General features: G+C 37.7%; 1 protein-coding gene across 38 annotated transcripts in view, besides 6 other annotated features; it reads left to right on the top strand.

Annotated features, from left to right (window-relative positions):
* Positions 6,973-7,102: an enhancer, noted in NCBI's record as "active region_26584". NCBI's record gives its function as "activates an Ori minimal core promoter by ATAC-STARR-seq in GM12878 lymphoblastoid cells {active_cell/tissue: GM12878}" and the evidence as "EXISTENCE:reporter gene assay evidence [ECO:0000049][PMID:35858748]".
* Positions 7,413-7,812: a silencer, noted in NCBI's record as "silent region_18593". NCBI's record gives its function as "represses an Ori minimal core promoter by ATAC-STARR-seq in GM12878 lymphoblastoid cells {active_cell/tissue: GM12878}" and the evidence as "EXISTENCE:reporter gene assay evidence [ECO:0000049][PMID:35858748]".
* The window catches only part of ZNF800 (zinc finger protein 800), a 49,850-nt gene continuing 33,440 nt past the window's right edge, over positions 7,772-24,181 (top strand). For 7 of the 38 annotated variants that reach the window (NM_001438611.1, NM_001438587.1, NM_001438591.1 and 4 more), the window contains exons 1-4: positions 7,772-8,420; positions 8,865-8,983; positions 14,325-14,420; positions 23,151-23,294. In NM_001438611.1, coding sequence (NP_001425540.1) covers positions 8,923-8,983; positions 14,325-14,420; positions 23,151-23,294 — 301 coding nt within the window. In that variant the 5' untranslated portion in view covers positions 7,772-8,420; positions 8,865-8,922. Of the gene's footprint in view, positions 8,672-8,864; positions 8,984-14,324; positions 14,955-23,150; positions 23,295-24,181 lie in introns of those variants that run through there. The other 31 variants (XM_006715868.5, NM_001438590.1, NM_001438598.1 and 28 more) reach the window with 18 other exon arrangements.
* Positions 7,817-8,317: an enhancer, noted in NCBI's record as "H3K27ac hESC enhancer chr7:127032217-127032717 (GRCh37/hg19 assembly coordinates)". NCBI's record gives its function as "activates a minimal SCP1, AML or CMV promoter by ChIP-STARR-seq in primed H9 embryonic stem cells {active_cell/tissue: H9 hESC(primed)}" and the evidence as "EXISTENCE:reporter gene assay evidence [ECO:0000049][PMID:30033119]".
* Positions 7,817-8,612: a biological region, named in NCBI's record as "H3K27ac hESC enhancer GRCh37_chr7:127032217-127032717".
* Positions 7,843-7,972: an enhancer, noted in NCBI's record as "active region_26583". NCBI's record gives its function as "activates an Ori minimal core promoter by ATAC-STARR-seq in GM12878 lymphoblastoid cells {active_cell/tissue: GM12878}" and the evidence as "EXISTENCE:reporter gene assay evidence [ECO:0000049][PMID:35858748]".
* Positions 8,213-8,612: a silencer, noted in NCBI's record as "silent region_18592". NCBI's record gives its function as "represses an Ori minimal core promoter by ATAC-STARR-seq in GM12878 lymphoblastoid cells {active_cell/tissue: GM12878}" and the evidence as "EXISTENCE:reporter gene assay evidence [ECO:0000049][PMID:35858748]".

Raw genomic sequence — 24,181 nt, 5'->3', positions numbered from 1 at the left:
GTTCCACATCCTCTCAATGGGATTTCCAAATCAGCATTTGGAATTGTCTTTAATTTTAGCCATTCTGCTGGGTATATAGTGGTATCTCATTGTGATTTTAATTTGCATTTCTTTGTTAGTAAGTTTTAACATATTTTCATATTTTTTAACTTACAGAAAAATTTAAACATATGCAAAATAAACAGAATAGTATAATAAATCTTCCTGTACTTATCACACAGCTTCGACTGTTATCAACATTCTGCCATTCTTGTATCATCTATATAGCCACCCATATCCACTCCCACTCTATTACTTTTTACATTTTTTAAAGCTAAATTTGCTTACATTGAAAAATGTTAGTGGTCCAATTTTAACAAATGGATATACTTATGTAACCAACAGCTCTATTATCTTCCCCCAAAATTCTCCTGTGTCCCATACTCCCTCCCCACCCAGTTTATTTTTGCTTTGTTGAATTTCCGCATGGGGTAAGAAATCTAGTGTGTTTGGAACATAAAGTGTGTGAGGTTGTGGCAGGACCAGGTTTAATAGTATTTTTTTTGTGCGTACTCTATTTTAGGTCCTGCTGAGTGCTTTCTTCATTAACTGATTTCTCAAGAGAGGGTCTCACTAGAGTCATAAAACTTGTGAGTGATGGAGATAGGATGCTCCGATTTTTTCTGACTCCAAAATACAATCTTTGTACTAATGCTTTTTGATGATTTGACTTATTAGTCTGTGCAGTTGGCAGTCAAAAGGGATTTTGAAGTGCAGCGTAACGTCAGGTTTGTTTGGACTATAATTCTGTTGATAGTGTGGAATATTGGAGTGAGGCGGAGATCAGTGGTAGGGAGAGCACAGAGGTGTTTATGGCAATGGTTCAGAGGTGAGGTTTGGGACTAGAAGACTGATGGTGCATATGGAGAGAGGAAACTCTCCATATTTCTTAGGCCTTTTTGAAGTATAACCAATAGCTAATGGTTCCAGGTTAGATGTTGGGGATACGTGAGAAGAGAAACCTTGTACACAGGTAATTTTCATTACTTTGCATCTTTGCAGATGCTCCTCTCTATAACTCCAAGGCTTCTACCTTGGGTGCCCGAATCGATAGCAACACTGTTACCAAAATCTGGAAGAGGAAGAACAGGTTTGGTGAGAAGATAAATTCAGTTTTGGTCTGGCTACTTTTGACATGCCTGGGGAAATTTAGATGGTCTGTCTTATGGACAGTTACAAACAGAATTTAGAGGCTCTAGAAACAGGTCTGACCTGGAGATAAAACTTTAGGAATCATCAGAATATATATGTAACTGGAAGCACAGGCTCTGGTCTCAGACAGATTTAGGTTTAAAGATCTAGGTCTAGCTCAGACACTCATTGTCTGTTTCCTTATTGGTAAAATGGGATAATATCTAACCCAGGATCTTTGTAAGGATTTGATGGAAAAATAAACAGCACTTAGCATGCTGTCTGAGTTCAGTAAGTGACAAAATTATCATTAGCTATTATTAGATTGCAATACAGCTAATATTTTTATTATTATTGTAATAGCTAACTTACTATAACAAAAGCCCCTTTTTTCCCCCATGGAATTCGCTTAAATGCTACATGAAATGCATTTAAATGAAAGATCTGTAAGGTATGGTTTGATAGCCACAAGGCAGCATGCTGCATGCATCATTGTGTCATTTGGTAGGCAAGACCTCTGAGTGCCTTTAGCACAGGGAATGGAAGATACAAAGCCATGTCAGCAGTTCTCCAGTAGGCAGCTTACCTCCAGGGTAGCAACTCAGTTATATTCACTCCCTACCCTCCTTAAAACAAGCATTTTAGGGAAAGGATTATCTTCGTTTTTCATGTTATGTTGTTTGCAAAATACTTAGGTGTTATGTTCTACATAATTGATAATAGATCAACAATTTAATATTTGTCCTTCTAAATCAATTTTTCCCTGACACTTTCTACAATCTCAGACCCTATCTTGGCTCATAATTTGGTTTCTGCATCATTTTGGATTTAGTTATGTGTGGTAAAATGCCACATCATAATCAAAGCTGTCAAAATCTGGACCAGAGTACATAGGAACTTTAGGAACTATAATTGCTTCTACTTGATGTTAGGTTCTTATGCTGTGTTTTAGTGGGATCTGCTTAGAATAGATGGAAAACTAAGATTGAATCTTAAAACAACATTTGATGAGAAAAACAAGTTCAGTAAGAAAACTTAAGGAATCTGGAGGCATCACGCTACCTGACTTCAAACTATACTACAAGGCTTCAGTAACCAAAACAGCATGGTACTGGTACCAAAACAGAGATATAGACCACTGGAACAGAACAGAGCCCTCAGAATAATCCCGCATATCTACAACTATCTGATCTTTGACAAACCTGACAAAAACAAGAAATGGGGAAAGGATTCTCTATTTAATAAATGGTGCTGGGAAAACTGGTTAGCCATATGTAGAAAGCTGAAACTGGATCCCTTCCTTACACCTTATACACAAATTAATTCAAGATGGATTAAAGACTTAAATGTTAGACCTAAAACCATAAAAACCCTGGAAGAAAACCTAGGCAATACCATTCAGGACATAGGCATGGGCAAGGACTTCATGTCTAAAACACCAAAAGCAATGGCAACAAAAGCCAAAATTGACAAATGGGATCTAATTAAACTAAAGAGATTCTGCACAGCAAAAGAAACTACCATCAGAGTGAACAGGCAACCTACAGAATGGGAGAAAATTTTTGCAATCTACTCATCTGACAAAGGGCTAATATCCAGAATCTACAATGAACTCAAACAAATGTACAAGAAAAAAACAAACAACCCCATCAAAAAGTGGGCAAAGGATATGAACAGACACTTCTCAAAAGAAGACATTTATGCAGCCAAGACACATGAAAAAATGCTCACCATCACTGGCCGTCAGAGAAATGCAAATCAAAACCACAACGAGATACCATCTCACACCAGTTAGAATGGCGATCATTATAAAGTCAGGAAACAACAGGTGCTGGAGAGGATGTGAAGAAATAAGAACACTTTTACACAGTTGGTGGGACTGTAAACTAGTTCAACCATTGTGGAAGTCAGTGTGGCGATTCCTCAGGGATCTAGAACTAGAAATAGCATTTGATCCAGCCATCCCATTACTGGGTATATACCCAAAGGATTATAAATCATGCTGCTATAAAGACACATGCACAGGTATGTTTACTGCAGCACTATTCACAATAGCAAAGACTTGGCACCAACCCAAATGTCCAATAATGATAGACCGGATTAAGAAAATGTGGCACATATACACCATGGAATACTATGCAGCCATAAAAAAGGATGAGTTCATGTCCTTTGTAGGGACATGGATGAAGCTGGAAACCATCATTCTCAGCAAACTATCGCAAGGACAAAAAACCGAACACCGCATGTTCTCACTCATAGGTGGGAATTGAACAATGAGAACACATGGATACAGGAAGGGGAACATCACACACCGGGGCCTGTTGTGGGGTGGGGGGAGGGGGAAGGGATAGCATTAGAAGATATACCTAATGTTAAATGACGAGTTAATGGGTGTGGCACACCAACATGGCACATGTATACATATATAACAAACCTGCACGTTGTGCACACATGTACCCTAAAACTTAAAGTATAATTTAAAAAAAAAAGAAAACTTAAGGAATCACCAAAATTTATAGAAGGCCATCAAATGGACTCAGTCAGTTGAAAGAATAAGTCTGACTAGTGTTTCCTTGTTTTACTGTTCTTAAAGCATTAAAAAAAATCAGTGGCTTTAATTAGCTAGTATCATTTTCAAAATAAGTATATATTGTGATAGATTAAATGTGAAAATCATCACAATAATTCCTCCCATTCCTGAATGCATATCCTTTTGCAATGTGATTTTGCTGCTTCTCCCAGCAAGAGGCAAGTCTAAGTCTCTACTTCCTGAATTTATGCTGGCTCTTTGACTTGACTAACAAAATGTAGTGAAAGTGATGTCATATACATTCTGAACTGAGGGCCTCAAGAAATCTTGTAATTTCTACTCTCTACTGGCTTGGCATGCTGCCACTGCATGAGGAAACCCAGGCTAGTCTCCTTGAGGTTGAAAGGCTACAAGAAGAGAGGTCTAGCCAACAGCCAACACCAAATACCATGTGACAGTACCCAGTCAAGCCGCTAGTTGACTGTAGCATCTGCATGGGTGACTCTAGACAAGGCCAGCCCAAATTACTAATCTTCAGAATTGAGAGCACATAAAATGACTTTAAGCCACCAATTCTGGCTGGCTATGCAGCAATAATATACTGTATATGTGTATGTATGTATGAGAGATAGTGTCCTCTCACTGAGGATGAGAGAATTTTAAACTATAAAATGGATTTACATGAACCATTATGATGTACTTCTAGACTTTTAAGGATAAAAAAGTAATGTGTCACCTAGGTTGCTGCAGTGAACAACGAAAGGGAAGGCAGATAATTTTTTTGGGATAGTTTGTGTGCATTGTTTTTAGAGGTAGGGTGATAACTCAGATGATGTCTAAGGTTCCTTTAAGTTCTAGAGCCCTGTGAAATTTCAATTAAATTCTTGTAATTTGGCAACTCATTTCCAGTTCATGAACTTGCACATAGCATTTTAATATGCAATACCTTTCACAACTGGCAGGATCTACTGGCTCGTCTTTCACATACAATGTGAACCAAAACAGCTATGGCATAGTGAAGGTAGCATAGTGTAGACAGTACAGTGTGATGGCTAAGTTCATGAGTTCCAGAGCCAAACTGCTTGGGGTCAAATGATGGCTCAGCTACCTATCAGCTTGGTGTATTAGTCCATTCTCACATTGCTATAAGGAAATACCTGAGACTGGGTGGTTTATAAAGAAAAGAGGTTTAATTGACTCATAGTTCTGCGTGGCTGGGGAGGCCTCAAGAAACTTACAATCATGGCAGAAATCACCTCTTCACAGGGCAGCAGGAGAGAGAATGAGTGCCAGCAGGGGAAATGCCAGATGCTTATAAAACCATCAGATCTCATGAGAATTCACTATCAGGAGAACAGCATGAGGGAAACCACCCCCATGATTCAATTACCTCCCACTGGGTCCCTCCCACAACACGTGGGGATTACAGGGACAACAATTCAAGATGAGATGTGGGTGGGGACACAGCCAAACCATATCACTTGTTAAGTCATCTAAACTCTCTTTACCTCAGTTTTCCCACCTGCAGAATGGAAGGACAGCAAAACCTCATTAAATTGTTGATAGGATTAAATGAGCTAATATGGAGCTTAAAAAATATTAACTCCTCAATACATGTCAAATAGTAGTACTGTTAATTATAGTAGGGAGTAATCTAGGTCCTGACCCCAAGTTCCTACTGACTAGCACATTACTTAATCTCTCTGGGTCTCAATTTTTATGATTCTTTCTTTTCTTTTTTCTTTCTTTCTTTCTTTTTTTTTTGAGACAGAGTCTTACTCTGTTGCCAGGCTAGAGTGCAGTGGCGTGATCTCGGCTCACTGCAACCTCCGCCTCCCAGGTTCAATTGGATTATTTCGTTTTTATACAGATATGTTTAATATTTGTTTTACCGACATGCACATTTCATCTTGACTCTAATTCTAATTTTTCAAAGATTGTCTAAACTTACTCTGTTAGCAAGCAATTTTGAGGACCCTCTGGTACTGACCACTTTGCATTCGAATATAAATAACACTACATTTGCTCACAAAACATACTTTTGTGTGTTTTTTTTTTTTTTTTTTTTTTTTTTTTTTTACTCACACCTGGTCAGCAAACAACTGATATATCTGAAGCAAAGCTTTTTCAGGGTTAGAACAATTTAGACTTGCATATTCATTTTTAAGCCTATGATAAATATGTTTATTACATAAAAGTAGGAAAAGATCCTCTGAAAATGCAGAAAATATTTTACCTCACATTTTACCACGCAGAGGTCTCCAGTGTAGATATTTGCATGTTTCTTTCAGTCTTTTTTCACTGCATTTTTTGGAGTGACATTGAGCTTTATTAGTGTATACCATTTTCATATTATTACAGCCTTCTTACTGCGTTTCAAAATTTTTCTGCTTATTAAAGTTTTATATACTTAATTTACAAATTTTGCAAAGTATACAAAAGAATAAAATAAAAATCATTCATAATTGCACTGTTACAGCCCACTGTTAAAATATCACATTTCAAAATACTTCTTTTTTGTTGCTTAAGCATATTCCATACAACTAAATTTTATATAAAATGTGATTTTTATTGGCTGCATAACAAACACTATCACAGAAGTATCATAACTTATTTTACATTAATTTATAAACTGTGGCATTTCATATTTTAGTTTCACGTTGGGTGATGCCTCTTAACTATGGGACAGATATATATGATCATACCACTTATGTGACTAGTTAAAGATCACGTTTCTATCCCTTTCTTGTCATCCCCTAGAATCAAGCTGCTGCAATCCCCGGAGACCTAATGCAAACGCTTCACCTCCTGGACCCAAGCCATCCCGCCCCCCGCCCCCGCCTCTCCCGTAGCTGGGACCACAGGCACGCGCCATCCTGCCCGGCTAATTTTTTTTTATTTGGTTGAGAGGGCGTTTTGCCATGTTGCCAGGCTGGTCTCTAACTCCTGGGCTTAAGCGATCCTCCCGCTTTGACCTCCCGAAGTGCTGGGATTACAAACACCAGCCACTGCGCCTGGCCCAACATTTTTAAAGTAACAAATGTATCAATTTACAAACTTTCCTTTGGATTTTGAAAACTGAACTTTTTCTCTTCTAAACAAAGTCTATCTACTGAACTTCAGTTTTTTCAGGACCCCGCACAATGGCAGCTTAAGTTGGACCAACTGGAAAGGTTTTCAGTGGATCTTGGGGAGGATCGGAGACAAGGCGAATGGGCTTTATTCTCTTAAAATTTCCTGACGGGCGGTGGACACATATTTGCTTGATGTCACCAAGAGCAAGAATTACGTTCCAGGAGCTGGGAGGAAACAACGGAGGCGGCTCTCTCGCCCCCAAGAAGCGGCCCTTGGTTGGCAGAATTTGACAGATGACTGGGATCTTCGAGGATTTTCCAAGCAGGATCGGGGCGCAGAAGAGGAGGGAAAGTGCGTGAGCCCACGTGACCCAACTCCACTTTCAAGTTTGAGAAGCGGAGCTGCCAGGATAAATACCCATCTGCTACCAATAGATGCTTTCCCTCCCTTGGGCCTGATAAAAGAATCCCCAAGTTCCGGGAGGCATGCTTCGAAAATTGTTGGCAGGAAAAAAATGTTCAACTTTTGCCATTTAGCAATGCACTGACAGCCTTTTGGGGATCATCACTACTTATGGCTCATACATCTGCCCACCGCTTCCTAAGTCCTCTCCCAACCCTCCCCGAGTTTCAGTTCCACTGAACAGAGAACAGCGAGAGCAACAGTTTGGTGGCCGAGCAGCCCGTCTCCGTGGGCGCGCACGCCGCATCGCGGGCCTCACACCTCACTTTGGGCTTCGGCTCTCGGTCGGCCCGAGACTCCGGCCGCGGCCCTGGTGTCCCCCGCCCCGGTTCCCTCCCCTCGGACACGGCCCTCGCGCCGGCGGCCCCGGTCCCCTCCCCACCGGCCGCGGCGGGCACAGCGCGTCGCCTACCCACAGGCGGGGGCGCCGGCCGGGCGCATGCGCGCGGCGCTCCCGGGCGTGCCGGCCACACTCCCCCCACCCACTCGGTGAGCTTGTCACTTCCTGCCCTCGCCCCATCTCCGTCCGGGGTCAGTCAGTCGCTCCCTGTCGCTGCCGGAGAGTCTCTGCTTCCCCCTTCCTACGCGCTCCGCGGCGGTAGCTCGGGCTCTCCGGAGGAGGGGGCGACAGAGTAAAAGAGAGGCTGACTTAATAAAGTTTCCTGAAACAACAACTACCACCGAAAAGGCCCAAGGTTGGGGGAGACCCCCATTTTTCTCCGCCCCTCTCCTAAAGCCTGAGGGACCGTTGCAGGTGGAGCGGCGCTGGTGGGACCCGGGTTGCGGCGGCAGCCGTTGCCCCGGCGAGGGAAGCCTCAGGTCCTGCCCGCTCCGGTTCCGGCTCCTTCGGTGGTGGCGGCGGCAGCTGCTGCCGGGCGGTTCCTCCTGTCAACTGCCTCCGCCCGCGCGCCTCCCGCCTAGCCACACAGCGCGGAGGACGCCGTGAGCCGCCGCCGCAGTCGTCTCGGCCCGCGGAGGGACGTGGTGAGCTGTGGCGCTTCCGCGTCAGCGCCGGCGGGGACTCTTTGGGAGCGCGTCGGGCCCGAGTCCGGGTTCCCCCGCGTGGTCAGCGGAGGCTGCGCCAGGTGGGGCCCGCAGCCGCCTCCCACGCCAGGCTGTCCCCGCGGCCGCCCGGCCTGCCTTCCTTCCTTCCGCCCGCCCGCCGGCCCGCCCTAAGAGTTGAGTAAGTTGGGCGCACTTGGTTGTGGGGACGGGGTCTCCGCCAGGGAGACCCCAACGCACGTGCGTAGCGGGAGGGCGCGGCGTGGGCCAGCAGCCGGCGGGAGCGGCACCTCCGTAGTCCCGGAGCCCGGCGGTGCCCGCCGCGCTCTGCGCTCCGTTTCCGCGCGCCCGCCCGGGACGGCGAGGCCGCAGCCGCCCGCGCTGCCGGCCAGGCCTTCGCCCTGCGCTGCGCACCCGAGGCTGCGTTTCCGGGTAGGGCGATGAACCTGTGTGGGGAGTTTGGGCTGCAGGAGGGTTTGTGCGTCTTTCTGTTTTCTTTTCGAGAGGGAGGTGCGGGTCCGTGGAGGGAAAGCGGAGAGCTGATGATGGGAACGTATCTGGAAAATGCAGCCAGTGCCCCCCAGGAAGTTCAGGGCGAGTGACGGGTTTGTGCTTCTTTCAACAGCCACGCCGCAATGAAGAGCTTCTTACAGTGAAAGCAAAGTAGGTCGAGTCCACTGAAAATGCCTTTAAGGGACAAATACTGTCAGACTGACCACCATCATCACGGATGCTGTGAACCAGGTAGACCCCTCTTCGTCCGCAGTTGCTTTGCCCTCCATCAGAGCCACTCTGCCTTCTCTTTTTTTCTAGCTTTTTTTCCTCCTGCCCCAGTAGTCATTCTTAAGCAGGCTATGATATTCCCTAGCATAAGCCAGTTATGAAGCTAAAAGCTTGTACAAACAAGAGGTCTCCCCTGCTTGATCCCTTAAAAAAAAGTACTGCAAGTGTCACCTTAAATCATTTCCACAAGATCAGTCGCTCAGTCTTTTTTCTTTCTTTTTCAAGGCATCCTGCAGTTAATATACTCCTATGGTCTGTAAATGTTTAAAATTGAAGAGAAAGGAAAACATAGAATACTAGATTTGTTGTCGTGAAATTGTTTCACTGAAACTTTAAAAATTAAAAGTTTCTTAGGCATTTTAATCAGCAAGTAGTTCTGAAAGTCTAAAAGTGAGTTTAGTTTGGGTTTTAAAAGTTTGTTGAACTCATTGGGAGAATCAGGTTTTGCTAAGCGCAACCTTTAAAAAAATATCTTGGGCAGAACATATTATATTGCGAAATAAAAGAGAAATCTCTTTTTTTATTTAGGTAGAATACATAATTATTTCCAGGGTATTTTATGGAATGAAACTTGCTTTAGTTGAATTTATCATATGAAAAAGTTTTTCGGAGTCTCATGAAGAATACTAGCAAACTTTAATTTGATAAACTTGATATACTGTTGACAGTTCTACTTAGAACTTTGATATGCTTTGTGACAATCATTAAAAGGTATAACTTAAAAGGGAATCATTGAATGCATACCATCACTAAATCAAATAAAGGCTAGGCTATTCTAGTTTAAAGGCGGATGTTTATCATTATTTTTGACCTAAAAGTTATTAGATTTTTAATACATTTGCTTGCTTTTTGTTGGAGTATTTTAACTGCACTTATGTACTTGGATTTTATCACAGTAGAGTTCATTTTAGGTAATTTTCTGATTAATGGAAAAAAATGTTATCAGTAGAAGGGAAGAGCTTCCATTTTAAGAAAACTTTGCTACAGATGAGGATAAAATTCGTACTACAACCCTATCTCTACTGTACTTTGCTGAGATCAGTAATAACTTACCTGTACTAATAAAACAGGCAATCCTTGGATGGGATCCAGTTTCTATTGAACTGCTCTTGACCTGTTTAACTTTCAGGATCCTTTCACACTGCATATTTTGTGTATTTGAACTGCAGATATATCACTTATGTTTTACTGATGTTGAATGGAGTTTGCTAGTTTTGAACTATACAGATGTGAGTGCCATTTAAACTCATGTTCCACTGACCTTTTAGTCTAGTTTTTTTTTTCTGAGAACACTTTTAATCATTGAAGTTGAATTAGTTAATGAAACCATCTTATTTAGGAAGAAATTTATTGATCATTCATTTCTTTAACAAATTGTTATTGAACATCTATTGAGAGCACTGTTGAAGGCAATGGGGATATAAGTGGTGAACAAGACAGATAAAGTTCTTTCTTTATAAAATGTTTGAGTGGGAAGAGATAAACATAAAGAAGTAAACAAATAAGCTAATTTGTGATTATACCTTATTTAGTATGTTCTGGTAATGAGTTTTCTGAAGACTTTAATGTCTTTAAAGATGTTTTCTAGACTTGAGCTTTTTAACGTGTATTGAAATGTTTTTGCTTGTTTTTTTTTCTCCCCAACTAGCAGGAACTCAGACAAAATTGTATTAGTTTAAAATTTTCAACATCTTTTACTAGAAACTTTTTCCATGCAGGTTAATTTTCAGACTTATCACGTCAACAGTAGTTACTGTTTTCTTGCCTTGTTAGCTTGAATCAAACTTTCTTAGAATTTTGTTGAATGGATAAATAGAACTTTGTTAACTTATAGAGTAGTTCATTGTCATTATTTCAGAGGAAGGTATATGCTGAGTGGGTAGGATATTTCCAGGACTGAAAGAAATATGTTGTAGTGTGATAGCTTTTAAAAGATCATGTCCACAGATGGAGGGAAGATGACATAATGTTTGATAAAAATCTGTCCACATTTGGATTATGAATACTGGGTGAGTCTCCAGAGGAGATCAGTATATTCCTGATGAGGCCATTCTGCCTTGAAGAGATAGGTCAATTTATAGTGAAGGGTGGCACTATAACTCTGGCAGTGTATGTATTTTCTTAGTTATGTTTTAAGATTTTATTAATAGAAATTTCCAAACCTTCAAAACTAGATAATATGAGGAACTTGATGTAACCATCACACAACTCCATCAGTTGTTACATGGACAATCTCTTTTCCTCTATATTCTCTCCTCCCCTCCTCCCCCAATTCCCCTCTCTACCTTCCACTTACTCTCTCTCCCTAATATTTGTAAGCAAGTCCCATACGTCATAAATAGAGTGATCTTTTAAGGGCCTTGTTTTAAGGGAGGAGAGACTCTTACAAAAGTCAATGTTATATTCTGGGAAGTGTGTTTTTGGAAGGGTGTAAGGAAAGATGTTCTGAGGATTTGGGTTTTTTGGTTGGAGAAAGATTTTTTTTTTCTAAATGGTCATGTAACCTGGGTGGGTCTGATCTTGGGAGGATGATAGGCTATGTAAGAAGCAATTTTATAAAGTATTAATATAATAAAGTTTTCTAGAGTTGAGAGTATGTTTTCAAGTGAAGGAAGAATTGTTTCTTTAGAGTGGGAGCTACACAGATGTGTATACCAAGTGGTTGTGTCCAGGCACAGCTAAGCTAATCCTGGGCTTATTTTGAATGTTATCTCAGGATGTGTATGTGTTCTGGTGGTAGCAGTGTTCTGAGGGTGGTGGGTAAGAATATTTAGCCTTAGCTTTAAAATGAGGTGCTGTCATGTGGAAGTGGAAGTTGGTGTATTTTATACAGAAGGAGCACATTTATACAAATGGAACACATTTGTAAATGCAGGAGCTCTAAGGAGAAGAGTCTGTTTTTCCCAATATCCTTCCCTTATTTATTTCTGTTTTTTCATTCTCCAATTCTAGAATTCTTGTAACTGATAGAGGCAGACTTTGAAGCATTTAGTTTTTTACAGTAGTGTGGGTTTTCACCCTCTTTTATGTAGTTACCATTTTTTTTGTAAGTAGTTACCTGTTGCTATAATGTGCAAATAGGAGAAATCAGTTTATTCAAGTAGACGATACTGGTCTGTTTACAAACTTCTGTTTTCGTAAGAGGTTTAATTCTCTTTCTCTAAGATTTTGAAAAAAGATTTTTTGGTTTTTGGTGTCAGGAAAGCAATTGATGGGTACATGTTGATGATAGTGATGGTAGAATGTTTATTGAGCACTTACTATGTCCCAGGCTGTTTTAAGCAGTTGATTTGCATTAGCTTATTTAACCCCTATACAACCCTATAATTTAAGTACTGTGAAAATCTCCATTTTAGACCTGAGAAAAGAGAAATCAGAGAGTTTAATTTGCCCTAATTGTATCTAGTAAATGGCAGAAAAAGAATTTAAACACAGAGAGTCCAGGTCTGGATTCTTATGTTCTTAATCACTGCAGTTAGTGCCAATGTCAGATATTCTCAAAATGAGTGTGTGTGTGTGTGTGTGTGTGTGTGTGTGTGTTCTTAATTAATCTAAAATACACCTAAATTAATTAATTAATTAATTTGTTTATTTATTTTGAGTCAGTTTTGCTGTGTTGCCCAGGCTGGAGTGCAGTGGCGTGATCACAGCTCACTGCAACCTCTGCCTCCCGGGCTCAAACGATCCTCCCAGCTCAGCCTCCCACGTAACTAGGACTAGAGGCATGAGCCACCACGCCTGGCTAATTTTTGTATTTTTTGTAGAGATGGGGTCTTGCCATTTTGCCCAGGCTGGTCTTGAACTTCTAGGCTCAAGTAATCCTCCTGCCTTGGCCTCCCAAAGTGCTGGGATTACAGGCCTGAGCCACTGCACCAGGCCAAGTGTCTCTTAAAATTGGGGAAATTTTGCTTAATGAAATGAGTTGGTCCCAAAACATCATTCCTCTTGTTTGTGTACACTGAGCACTAGACTTGAAGCATAAAGGAGAATCTAAGCCTGTATCTATATACATAGCACAGTAGGCTAGTTTAGCCCCGCTATCAGAAAGCTAAGTACTGTCCAAGCCTAAACCCTGAAGCAAGAGTAGCACACATTGTTGAAATCACCCTTCATTTCTCCTCACACTAAGTGGGTGGTCCTGTGTTACGATGGTCATAGTTGAGTAGAACATTATGGCATATTTAAAAAAGAGATAATTAAAATGGTCAGTTTTTCTCCACCACAACCATCTCTATTTGATAACTGATGAAGAAACCCAGTTTTCCTTTTCTGTTGTCTTTATTCATATTACTGTAATTTATTATGTATCTATACTACTAGTCTGAGAATCTTGGGAATTAGGGATAATATAAACCTCTTTATGTAAAAATGAAATTTTTAATTTTTAAAATGGAAAGATTATTTTTACTTATTGTAAAAATGTGTCCTTTCTAAAAGCCAGACTCTGAAGCAGCATTAAAGTGTGAGGCAGAAAGCAAACATCCCTGAAAATCCACCCTAACAGCATTTATACATATATAAAATATATATTAAATTTATATATTTCTGCATCTACCAATGTATTAATGTAAATGGGATCATATTCTATAACCTATGTTTGTTGCTTAACAATTATTGCCATCCTTTGTTGTGAATACACATAGAACTAGTTCATGCTTTCTAACAGCCATGAAAAAGTCTGTCCTATGGACATTTCACAGTTTATTTAATCTGGTCACTATTAAGAGACTTTTAAGTTGTTTGAAATTTCTCTCAATTATATACAGTGCTGCAGAGCACTACAGTGAACATTCTTCTGCATCCATCATTGTGCACTTGTTCAGTTATTTCTTTAGGCAGTGATTTTTGACATTTTGCTCATAAATATCCAGAGTTATACCAGATTATCCAGAGGATTTTGGAATGGTTTATGAAGCGTGGCTAGGCCACCATTGCCTTAGAATTTTGATTAAATATAGTGGTTCCTCTTCAAGGGGAATAAAAAGGCAAACATGAAGAATGTATACTAAATAATACCAAAATAGTAAGGTCTTTGTATTGAAACCTAATATCTAGCCTTAAGTAGCCTTAAGTTAGCCTTTGAGAATAGTTTTAGTTTTTTTCTCCATTGTTTCATTTTGCCTTACAAAGATGATGGTTAATTATATATATATCTACATATTATATATGCGTGTGTGTGTGCGGGCACAAGTGTGATTATCCTTAATGTAATTGTAGAAAGCCATTGTTTTACTTTAATAGTAAATGATTTAAATAACCCTTTTTTTGTGGGGATTGGGGTGGGTGTTTGTCTTCCATGTAGTTTATATCCTGGAACCTGGAGATCCTCCTTTGTTACAGCAACCACTACAGACATCCAAATCTGGTATTCAACAAATAATTGAGTGCTTTCGATCAGGTATGAATGTTTTAGGATATATTTTTCAATCTTCACATAGTAGTTAAAAACTACCTAGAAGTCCTTAGAAATAATTTTTAAAAAACATTAAAATGTATATGTTGGCTTTCTTTATAGAATATTTAAAATTTTCATATTTTAAAAAAGTGGATGTATAAATACTGACTTGGTCTAGAGATTATTCTTCAGTACTATATATGGTATATTAATTTTAAAATAAATTTGTTTAGTATGATTTAAATAAATATATTATGTGGTGTATTTTCTGGTAAAGCACTTCTTAAAGATCCATTGATATCTTTTGGCATGTTTTGTGTAAACTCTCAAAAGGCAGTAAATTATTCTGGGTCTTCATGAGCTTTGGTACAGTAGATTACTCAGAATGTCTGAGATGTCATTTGTTCTAGGTTAATTACCTTATTTATGTTTGTGTGATCACCTCCTTCATCCTAACCCTTGAGTTTGTGGAGTTTTGGTATCTTTAATAGAGCGCAAGATAGAAGAAAGACAATATTCCAGCCCTGATATCTTCAGGTAGATTTGCTTAGATTTTATTTTCATTAGCTGATAATAAGAATTAGCTTTATAATAAATATAATTGTGTAATTGTAATCCAGTGTTTTAAAATAGGTATTACTTACAACATGTGAAATGATTGGGAACTGTTAGCGCCCCTATGTTATCAGTAAGATGTTAGGTTGCTGTGATTCCTATAATCCACTTGTCCACCCCTTGTGTATTTGGCTTCTCTGACATTACAGAGTATTCACTCAGATGTGAACAAGCAAATAAATATGACTGATGGACACTTAGAGGATTAGAATACCTTGTCATTATTTAAATCTTAACTAACTGAATGAAAAATTTCTGAGGTTCAAAGGAAAAATAATTCATATGTAACTACTTGTTTTGTATTGATGAGATTTTTTGAGTTGCTTGTTTCTAAATTGTTATAAACGGGGAAATCATATATTTGCTTTACTTTAGGATTCTAAGAAATAGAATCTGAATTAAAACATTTATTTTTTCTCTGACTCTCCAAAAGATCCATTTCTTAGACTTTTCATCTGTAGTACTCATGGCATTGCTTTTATCTGTATTTAATTTAGGAAGCATTGCTTGTATACCAAGTGCCTATCCTTATATTGGATGGTGGTATAAACTATTTTAGGGATTTTTTGTTGTTTGATTTTTACTTTTGATAATTGCCCTCGACTAACAGATAATTTATAGGTCAAATTTTCTTGTGATAAGTTCAATTAAAATAGAATTTTACTTATTAGGGACAGTATTTATATTTCTGGCATAACAGAAAAAATAGTGTCTGTTTGTTTTAGCTTCTTTTAGAATAGAGATTAAAGGGTTTTTTTGGTTCTTTCTCATACCATGGAAATGACAGCAATAGCTTTTCATATTTAGTAATATTACTTGTTATAGGTTTCTTTTTTAAAATTCTTAATTTGGAATTAATGAAGTTATACTATGTCAGTTTACTATAGCATTTTTTTATTGAGAAGTTAGAATTAGGCTGGGCGCGGTGGCTCACGTCTGTAATCCCAGCACTTTGGGAGGCCGAGGCGGGCAGATCACGAGGTCAGGAGATCGAGACCATCCTGGCTAACACGGTGAAACTCCGTCTCTACTAAAAATACAAAAAATTAGCTGGGGGGCGGCGGCGGGCGCCTGTAGTCTCAGCTACTCGAGAGGCTGAGGCAGGAGAATGGCGTGAACCCGGGAGGGGGAGCTTGCAGTGAGCCAAGATAGCGCCACTGCAGTCCGGCCTGGAGGAAAGAGTGAGACTCTGTCTAAAAAAAAAAAAAAAAAAAAAAAAAGAAGTTAGAATTAGTTAAGTCATAAGTGCTTTGACTTGTTAAAAAACAGCCTTATCAACAAGAACCTGTACCCAAAATCTGTGTGGGTACAGAATTAAAAAAGATTCCAAAAATCTTTTTTAATTTTAGAAGGCAAATATTTAAAGATTAAATTAATTATTTTCTTATTATGTTGTGATCATATCTGTTCTCTGTGTTTGTCGTATTTTTACTCTCTGAGCTAAAGAAGTGAGGCAGTGAAACGGGTAATTTGAAATGGTAAAATTCCAAAGCCATTTTATGTTGATGTTTTGAACTGCGATCTTTTTAAAATGATATCAGCAAATTTGCCTTTTGAGTTATTTTTTATTTAGGCAAATTCTGAAAATACTATTATTTTAATTTTCTGAGTACCCAACAGTTTAAGTTAGAGGTGATTTAGAAATATGCTGAGTGGTACAAAGAAACTAATCTTGGATTAAAAAAAGAATTATTTTACTTCATTACTGTATCCTGTAACTAAGAAATTTTAGTTTCTTCAAGATAGTAATCTCTTGCATTTCTGGTTAATCTAATGTCTACTGTGGTAGCCCTTCTTTAGCACTAAGGCATTTAAGTTGAGACTGACTAAAACCTTGGGAGAATGGTATGGAAGTCTGGACTGTATAACTTGGGGACAAAGATCCCTTCTAGCTCTGAGGCTCTGTTCTTCCTATTCCACTCTACTCCTAAGCACACCCTCAATGACTCATCTATTTCTAGGCTCTTTCCATTACAATTAGGTCACACACGTTGCATTTAAAGAACTATCCTGGTGGTGCTATATATCTTTGACAGATATTTGAAGATAGAACCCTGAAGTCCATGCTTTTGCTCTTGTTAACCTGTAGGGTATAAATCAGGTTGAATGGTAGTAATATGTTAGGTTATCTACCTTTATCTTCAAGCTCAGATAGTTATCTTCAACTGCTGTATCATCTCCTTTTGTGTCTCACCTTCTGCCTACACTGGGCTGTCTATGACCAGGTATTAATTCCTATGCAAGCTGGAAGTTCATAAAAAGTTCTGTCTTATGAAGGAGTTGACTCATTTTTAATGTCCACCACTTGATGTGTGCTATACTGACTGCTTGACCAGTTTTAACCCATCCTGTTTGCCTGACATTTCAGCTTTTCCTTTGAACTGTTTTCTTGGATTTAAATTACAAATTCTTATTGACTTCTGGTATATCTTTATTAGTCTGCTTAACTTGCAAATTAAGTTAAATGGGTTTTTCTTTTTATAATAAGTAATATGTGTCTGTGGTTTTAAATAGTAAAGTACAAAAGGGTATAGAGGAAAAAATAAGTTTCTATACTATTCTGTCCTTCAGTTCCCCTTTGCTCAGGCAACGCTGCTACATGGTTTATGTGTCTTCTTCCAGAGACCTTTTATACATATACAAACATATATCCCTCATTTTCTTCTTACACAAATGGTAGCTGACTCTACGTACTCTTGTGTACCTTTGCTTTATTAACTGTAGATTCAACTATTTATTGTTGACATCAGTCCATAGATAGATGCCTCATTTTTTAAGAAGCCTGCAGGTTTTGCAGCTGCAGGTTTTCCACTTGGAAATTCCTGATGATTGGCTGACTTGAGACCTGCTGTTTGCTCTGAACCCCTGGTTTCTTCTACTACCTTGACTGTGCCTTACCCTTTGTGTAGTTTGGCTTTGGCTGTGTCATTCTGATAGGATCATGTTTCTAATATGGTGTCTTCAAATTTCCCTCCTCTCTATAACACTTTCAGTTTATCTTCCTTCCTCTTTGACCTCTCTCCCCAAACCAAAACAAAATTTTAAATAGCAGATAAAAAGTGTACTACCTTTACATATTTATTAAATATCTTTTATGTGTTTATTAAATTGGTTTAGTTGAGTTCAATATTCTTTCAGAATTTCTTAGTTGTGTGCTAGAGGCAAAGGAACTATGGAATGCCCCTATGGTTAGAAAGAGAAAAATGAGGGGAAAAGAGAAGGATAATTTTGTCTGGTATTCAAGACTGGTCTTTAATATGAAGCTGACATCTTCTTTTTAAGTTCTTGAAATATATAATATTGTAAGAAGAGAAATATATAATTTGTAGAAAAAAGATTCTACATGTAGAATATGCTAGAGCAGTACATGCAGGGAACTCTTTTTTTGACTCTTAGGGAGGAATAAATTGTAACTTTAATTGTATGGTAATGAAAAATGAGAATTAGCTTCATGTGATGTTTGCTGTCATTATCTTTCTAAATTTGGGTTTGGTCATTTAACTTAGGCTTTTTTTTTTCTCCTTAAAACAACTTTAATTGCAATTAGTTTAAGCTCTGACTGAATGGTGATGCTTCAGTCCTGATTCTGAAGGCAAAGCGTAGGGTGGACGTGATTTTTCTGAGGTACATAGGAGAGTGCCATACCTATGATGGCTTTTTCTTTTTTTGTTGTTATATAGCAGTTATAGGAAATTTAAAATGGGACTTTTTTTTATAAGAAAAAAGTAGATTTGTTTTCCTTACATTCATATTCAAAGCATGTCATCTGGTGTTACGTTCCCAAGACAACAGCCATTTATATTGGTCTGAGTTTCTCAGTGGGGGAAAGACCGTATCTTTCATATTTCCAATGAGTAACAGTGTACCTGGTATTTAATGTGTGCTCAATAAGTGTTTGTTAGATTAAACTAAAAGATTCCCCAAGTAGGCACTGTCCTAAGATAATTGTATTCTACTTAAGTTTATTGTGGTATGTGGCAGTGCTCTATAATTAACATATATATATATTTAACCAGCCCTTACAGGTGATAGTTTTAGGATAGAACTTTCAATTTCTTAAGTTTTCTTTGTATCTTTGAATCCTTACGTTAAGGATGATCAGTAAGAAATTTCCTTCAGGAGTTGTGATGAGGAACGTACATTTATTTACTTGCAGTGTTTTGATGATATTGTAGTTAAGTGGTCATCCTAAAGAAGATTGAGTTTATATTTGAGCCAATAGTAAGCAAGCAGTATACCATTTAAGAAGCATTCTTGTCATCACTTAAAATGGGCATTGACCAAAATGTCAGTGCATTAAGTAAGAAAATGAAACCTTGTCTTTGTCTAGCATAGAAGAGTTAGAATTAATATTGTCATATTGTAATGTGACTGCCATCCAACCTAATGTAAAATTGAATACTGATTCCTTTTGAAAAAATATTTTAAACATTTTCACCAGTACATGCAATGCACTTGCCATTAAAGAATAACACAAGATAAACCCTTGATGAAGTTTAAGTAATTTTTATTGAGCACCTATTAGGGGTGAAAATCTGGAATATACAGTCATTAATCTTTAGCTATCAAAAGCCTTTCCTTTGGAGGGCTGGATGTTTGAAAGGTACTGATCTATGTAAGCAGTAAGTGGTGATTTCTAAGATAATTTAAAACCCTAAGGCAAGAAAGAGAGCAATATAGGAAAAGAAGAAGGAAGTCAGCATGGCTCTCTGTTTCTCAGCATCAAGAGCTGTGGAGGAACTTTATGTTGCTGTCTGGATGACCATGTCTGTTGTCTCAGGTGACAGGAAGTTTTAGCTATTGACAGAGGCACTTAGAGTTGGCTGTGTCCAATTGTAAGTGAGCAGAGCAATCAGAAAATGGTAGCTGACTTTGAAGAAAGCCATTCTGTCTCCATGGGAAAAAATAAAAAAATCTTAAGTGGTGTCTGAAACTAAGGGAAAAACTTTTATTATCTCTGTTTGTGGACTGAGACACACCTTATTTTTCTCATTTGTTAACTATGTAAGTGGAATTAAAAAAGTTTTAAAGTCTCATTTTTGACTCCTCAGTTAACTTCACATAGATTTAAAAAATCTAATTTTTAGAGAAGGTTTTTTTAATACATAGAGCTCTGTAGTATTTCATTTAGCAAATATCAGTCATGCATTATCCTGAGAGCTGGGGTAGCGGTGAGCATCAAGAATATCTTCTCTGTTCTAATCTTCCAGTTTAATGGCGATATGGAAAAGAAATTAATTACAAAACAGTGGATAAGCTAGTATAGATATCTAGGGTGCTATGAGAGTGTAGGTGAAGGATTTTTAACAAACAACAACAAAAAACAAGAGGTTGATTATTGAAGGCTTCTTGGAGGAAGTGACATCTATACTGGGATCTGAAGGATTATTAGAAGTGAGTCAGATCAGGAAAGTGGGAGAATGTTATAGTCAGAGAGGAAAAAACATAGGTGAAGGCCTGAAAAGTGAGGGAAAGAATACATTTGGTGTATCTGTGGACCTGAAAGAAATCTGGACTGCTTGGATCAACGATACACACACTTGCGCTCTCTCTCCCTCTCTCTCTCTCTCTCTCTCTGTGTGTGTGTGGGGGGGGTGGGGGGGTGGGGGGGTGGCAAGGGTAAGGGGAAGCATTTGTGATTGATAATTAAGATTGATTAGTTAAGGTTAGAGGCAAATACTTTTTTTTGGATGTTTATTGAGAATAAATATGCAGTCCCTACTGAATATAACTTAACTGTATAATTAGGACTAATTAAGAAATTGATAGTGTCTTTATTTTTCTGTGATTGAGAAGCTGGTAGGCAAAGTGATGTGTCTGATTTAGGGATGCAGTCTTATATTTTACACTTGACTATTTTTTATGTATAACCTCATGTTTACAGACTGATTATTTTATGCTTTAAATCTGCAGCCATGTACATGTATCCTATTTAAATCTTAAGTTGAATTCTTAAGTTAAACCGAGTTCACATTATTTTGGTGTTCCTCTTCAATCTTTTTTGACTATCCTTAAAGGCAGAATTGAATCTGTATTATGGGTCTAGCAGGTTTTGTAGTTTAGAATCAGTGTGCAAAAGTTTCCTGTTTTCTTCCCACTGCTACTATGCTCACCTACATTTCCTGAGAAATATATATAGGTCAATTAGGCTTAGCCAAAGCATTTTTTAAAATCAGTCTACCTCTCATAGTTTGTCACTCACTTATGAAGTTAACTGTGAACTAAATATATTAGCAGTCCGTTGCCAAGATATTTTGTAATGTGAAATGGACTTCAAAAATATATATATGAGAATTTACTTTTATGTAAAGAATAACACTCAGGCTATTCTCTGAATCTTTTTAAATTTATGTTTTCTGATTTTGTGGTAATAAGGACTAGTGGAGTAAACATAGATTTGGATTTGGGAAATGGTAGAAATTATTTTATTCTATACATTTTTTCCAGTAGAAACTCAAGTATATAATTTCCCTGGGATTTAGGTTCATATTTTCTTTAATAATTCTTCAACTTAGGTTTGGTTAGGTTTGTTCTATTTTACAACATGAGTAAACCAAAGTATAAAGATTATAAAGCTTTTTAAGGTCACACAAGTAGATAATATCAGATTTGGAATCTCTCAAGACTTAGTAAAGTTGTGATAACCTGGTAACTTTTTTGCAGTAGAGTTTTGAATGCTTGGATCAACAATAATTATCTCCCTCTCTCTCTCTCTCTGTGTGTGTGTGTATGTTGTGGGGGTGGGGGAAATGATTTTATCATCGTTTTCAAAATGATAAAATACACTTCAAAGATTAAATGTAAACAGATTGCAAAATATTGAATCTGAGCTATTTAACTTTTATAGACCCTACTATATTAATTATACTTCTAAGATAGTTTATACTCTTTAGTAGTCCCAGAGCCTAATAGGTGGTTAAATGCTTCTTAAATGACACAACACTTTGCACCTAGACAGTCTTAAGGATATTTTTCAGGGTACTTGGGTCTTTTCCTGTTCAAGTCAATATATTGTCATTTTAAAAAAGTTTTAATTTGAGGAAAGTAAAGGTACATTAATTAGTAAATTACTGCAGATCAGTTTTGCCACCTTACCTGTGGCAAAGAGCTGTAGGAAAGTAGTGACTAAAGACCTTCCGTTTGTATTTTATTTCTGGTGGCTGTTTTTATTTTTAAAGATCAGGTGCTTTTTACCATTTATTTTTTCTCTGCCTAAAGATATTCTTTCATAGTACTTAGGTTCCCTAGATTAGTAGCGTTTCTTCAACAAATTGTTTTTGAGCATTGTAAGAGCTGAATACGTTACACTTGTAAATAAGATAGGCTTATTCTTGGCTGCTTTGGAGTGTATAATCTAGTAGAGAAGATAGGCATTAAACTAGTAATTATATCAATACTTAATTGTAATTGGGGTGTTTTAAGGGAGAAAGGCTTTGAATAAATTTATAGTGCTGTCAAGAGGCGTAAGCATAGTTCAAAATTATGTCTCAGTATAGACAAAGATTCTCTACTTCGTAGAGAATCACGCTAAATAGCCATAATCCCATGTTGGCCCAGAACCTGAAGTAATTTGAGCTGAATTTAAAGAGAAAAATCACAGGCAATCCTGTAATACAGTTTTGACCTTCTTTAAGGAATAAGGGGAAAATGTATTGAAAAACTCCTTGCTTACTTCCTAATACAGAAAAGAGCTTCAAAGAACCAGCCAAAAAGTTTGCCAGGGAATAATGGGGGAACATTTAATTTTTCTGTCCTACTCCAAATCTATTAAATCTGAACCTCTAGGGGAGGGCTGTGTACATCTTTATTCCCAGCTCATTGTAATGATTAACCTCATGTCGGAACCACTGCCTTGGGATATATCAAGAATTGATTGGCTGCTGAAGTGGGAACACAGCATCAATTTTAGTTCTCCTGATTTCCAAATGATAGTAGGGTTTTGCTTAGAATTTAGTCTATAACTTAGTTCTAAATATACTGTGGTGGAAATTGGCAATGCCTATATTTTGTTTTCAAAGAGTAACTGCACTTTTGGTCTGTCAACAGTGGTTGTCCAGTTTAAAAGTGCATGTTAAAGTTACCTTTTGTGTTAAGTTTTTCTTTTCTTTTTTCTCTCAGGAACTAAACAACTTAAGCATATTTTATTAAAAGATGTGGACACTATTTTTGAATGTAAGTTATGCCGCAGTCTCTTCAGAGGATTACCAAATTTAATTACCCATAAAAAATTCTACTGCCCACCAAGTCTCCAGATGGATGACAGTAAGTTTTATTCATATACTCAGTTATGCATTTTACAGCTAAGTATTCTTATACTGCAAGTATACATTTGCATTAAAATTGTATCTAGTTACTGATAATTTGATAATGATGTCTAGTTACAGATAATTTTTAGATGGAGATGGAGAATAAAATTAAATACTTGACTCAATGTTACATTCAGTTTCTTAGGTACTTTCATATCAATGCTTTCCACTTGGGTTTTCCTAAAGATGACATATAAGAGGTTAGATTTAAGAGGATATTTATTTATATTAAAATATTGGATATTGTTTTAGAATGTTTATATGGGCCATAAATGGATTTTCTAGTTTATATTACTTTTTACTTCTTTATTCTTTAACAACTTGCAACCAGATGTGATTGATCACTTATTTAGATTCCCCTTAAGTAAATGAGAAGGTTGGGAATAAAGAGCAAAGAATGAGGTAAATTTGTTCATTTCTTGGGAATGGTGGAGAGCATTAAAAAGTCTTTATTAATCTTTCTAGTATTTTCTAGGTCTTGATTTGAAGATCAGTTTTGTTTTCAGAAAAATTTAGATAAGTCATTTTCTCAGAAATTACATTATGTTACAGGCTAACTTGAGATCCAGTATAACTTTATGTGATAAAGGCAGATAGCAGACTAATATAAAGTCTTTCTGGAACAGAATGTTTGTTTTGAATGCAGCATATTGTCTCTGTGTGATGAGGCTGGCAGTGTATCTAATGGTATTTTCTTTCTTTAAAGAATTAATGTAAATTTAAAAAAATTCAATATTGGGCTACCTTATTCTTTCTTGTTTATGGATTTAACTCTTTGTTGACTTACAAAATATAGAACTTACTTTGTCAGTCTGAAAGCGTAGATGCATTGTGGATTCTGTG

Source organism: Homo sapiens, chromosome 7 (assembly GCF_000001405.40).
Source record: "Homo sapiens chromosome 7, GRCh38.p14 Primary Assembly".
Taxonomy (NCBI): Eukaryota; Metazoa; Chordata; class Mammalia; order Primates; family Hominidae; genus Homo; species Homo sapiens.
Note: the sequence above shows the minus strand (reverse complement) of the source record. Positions and strands in the feature narration are given on the sequence as shown.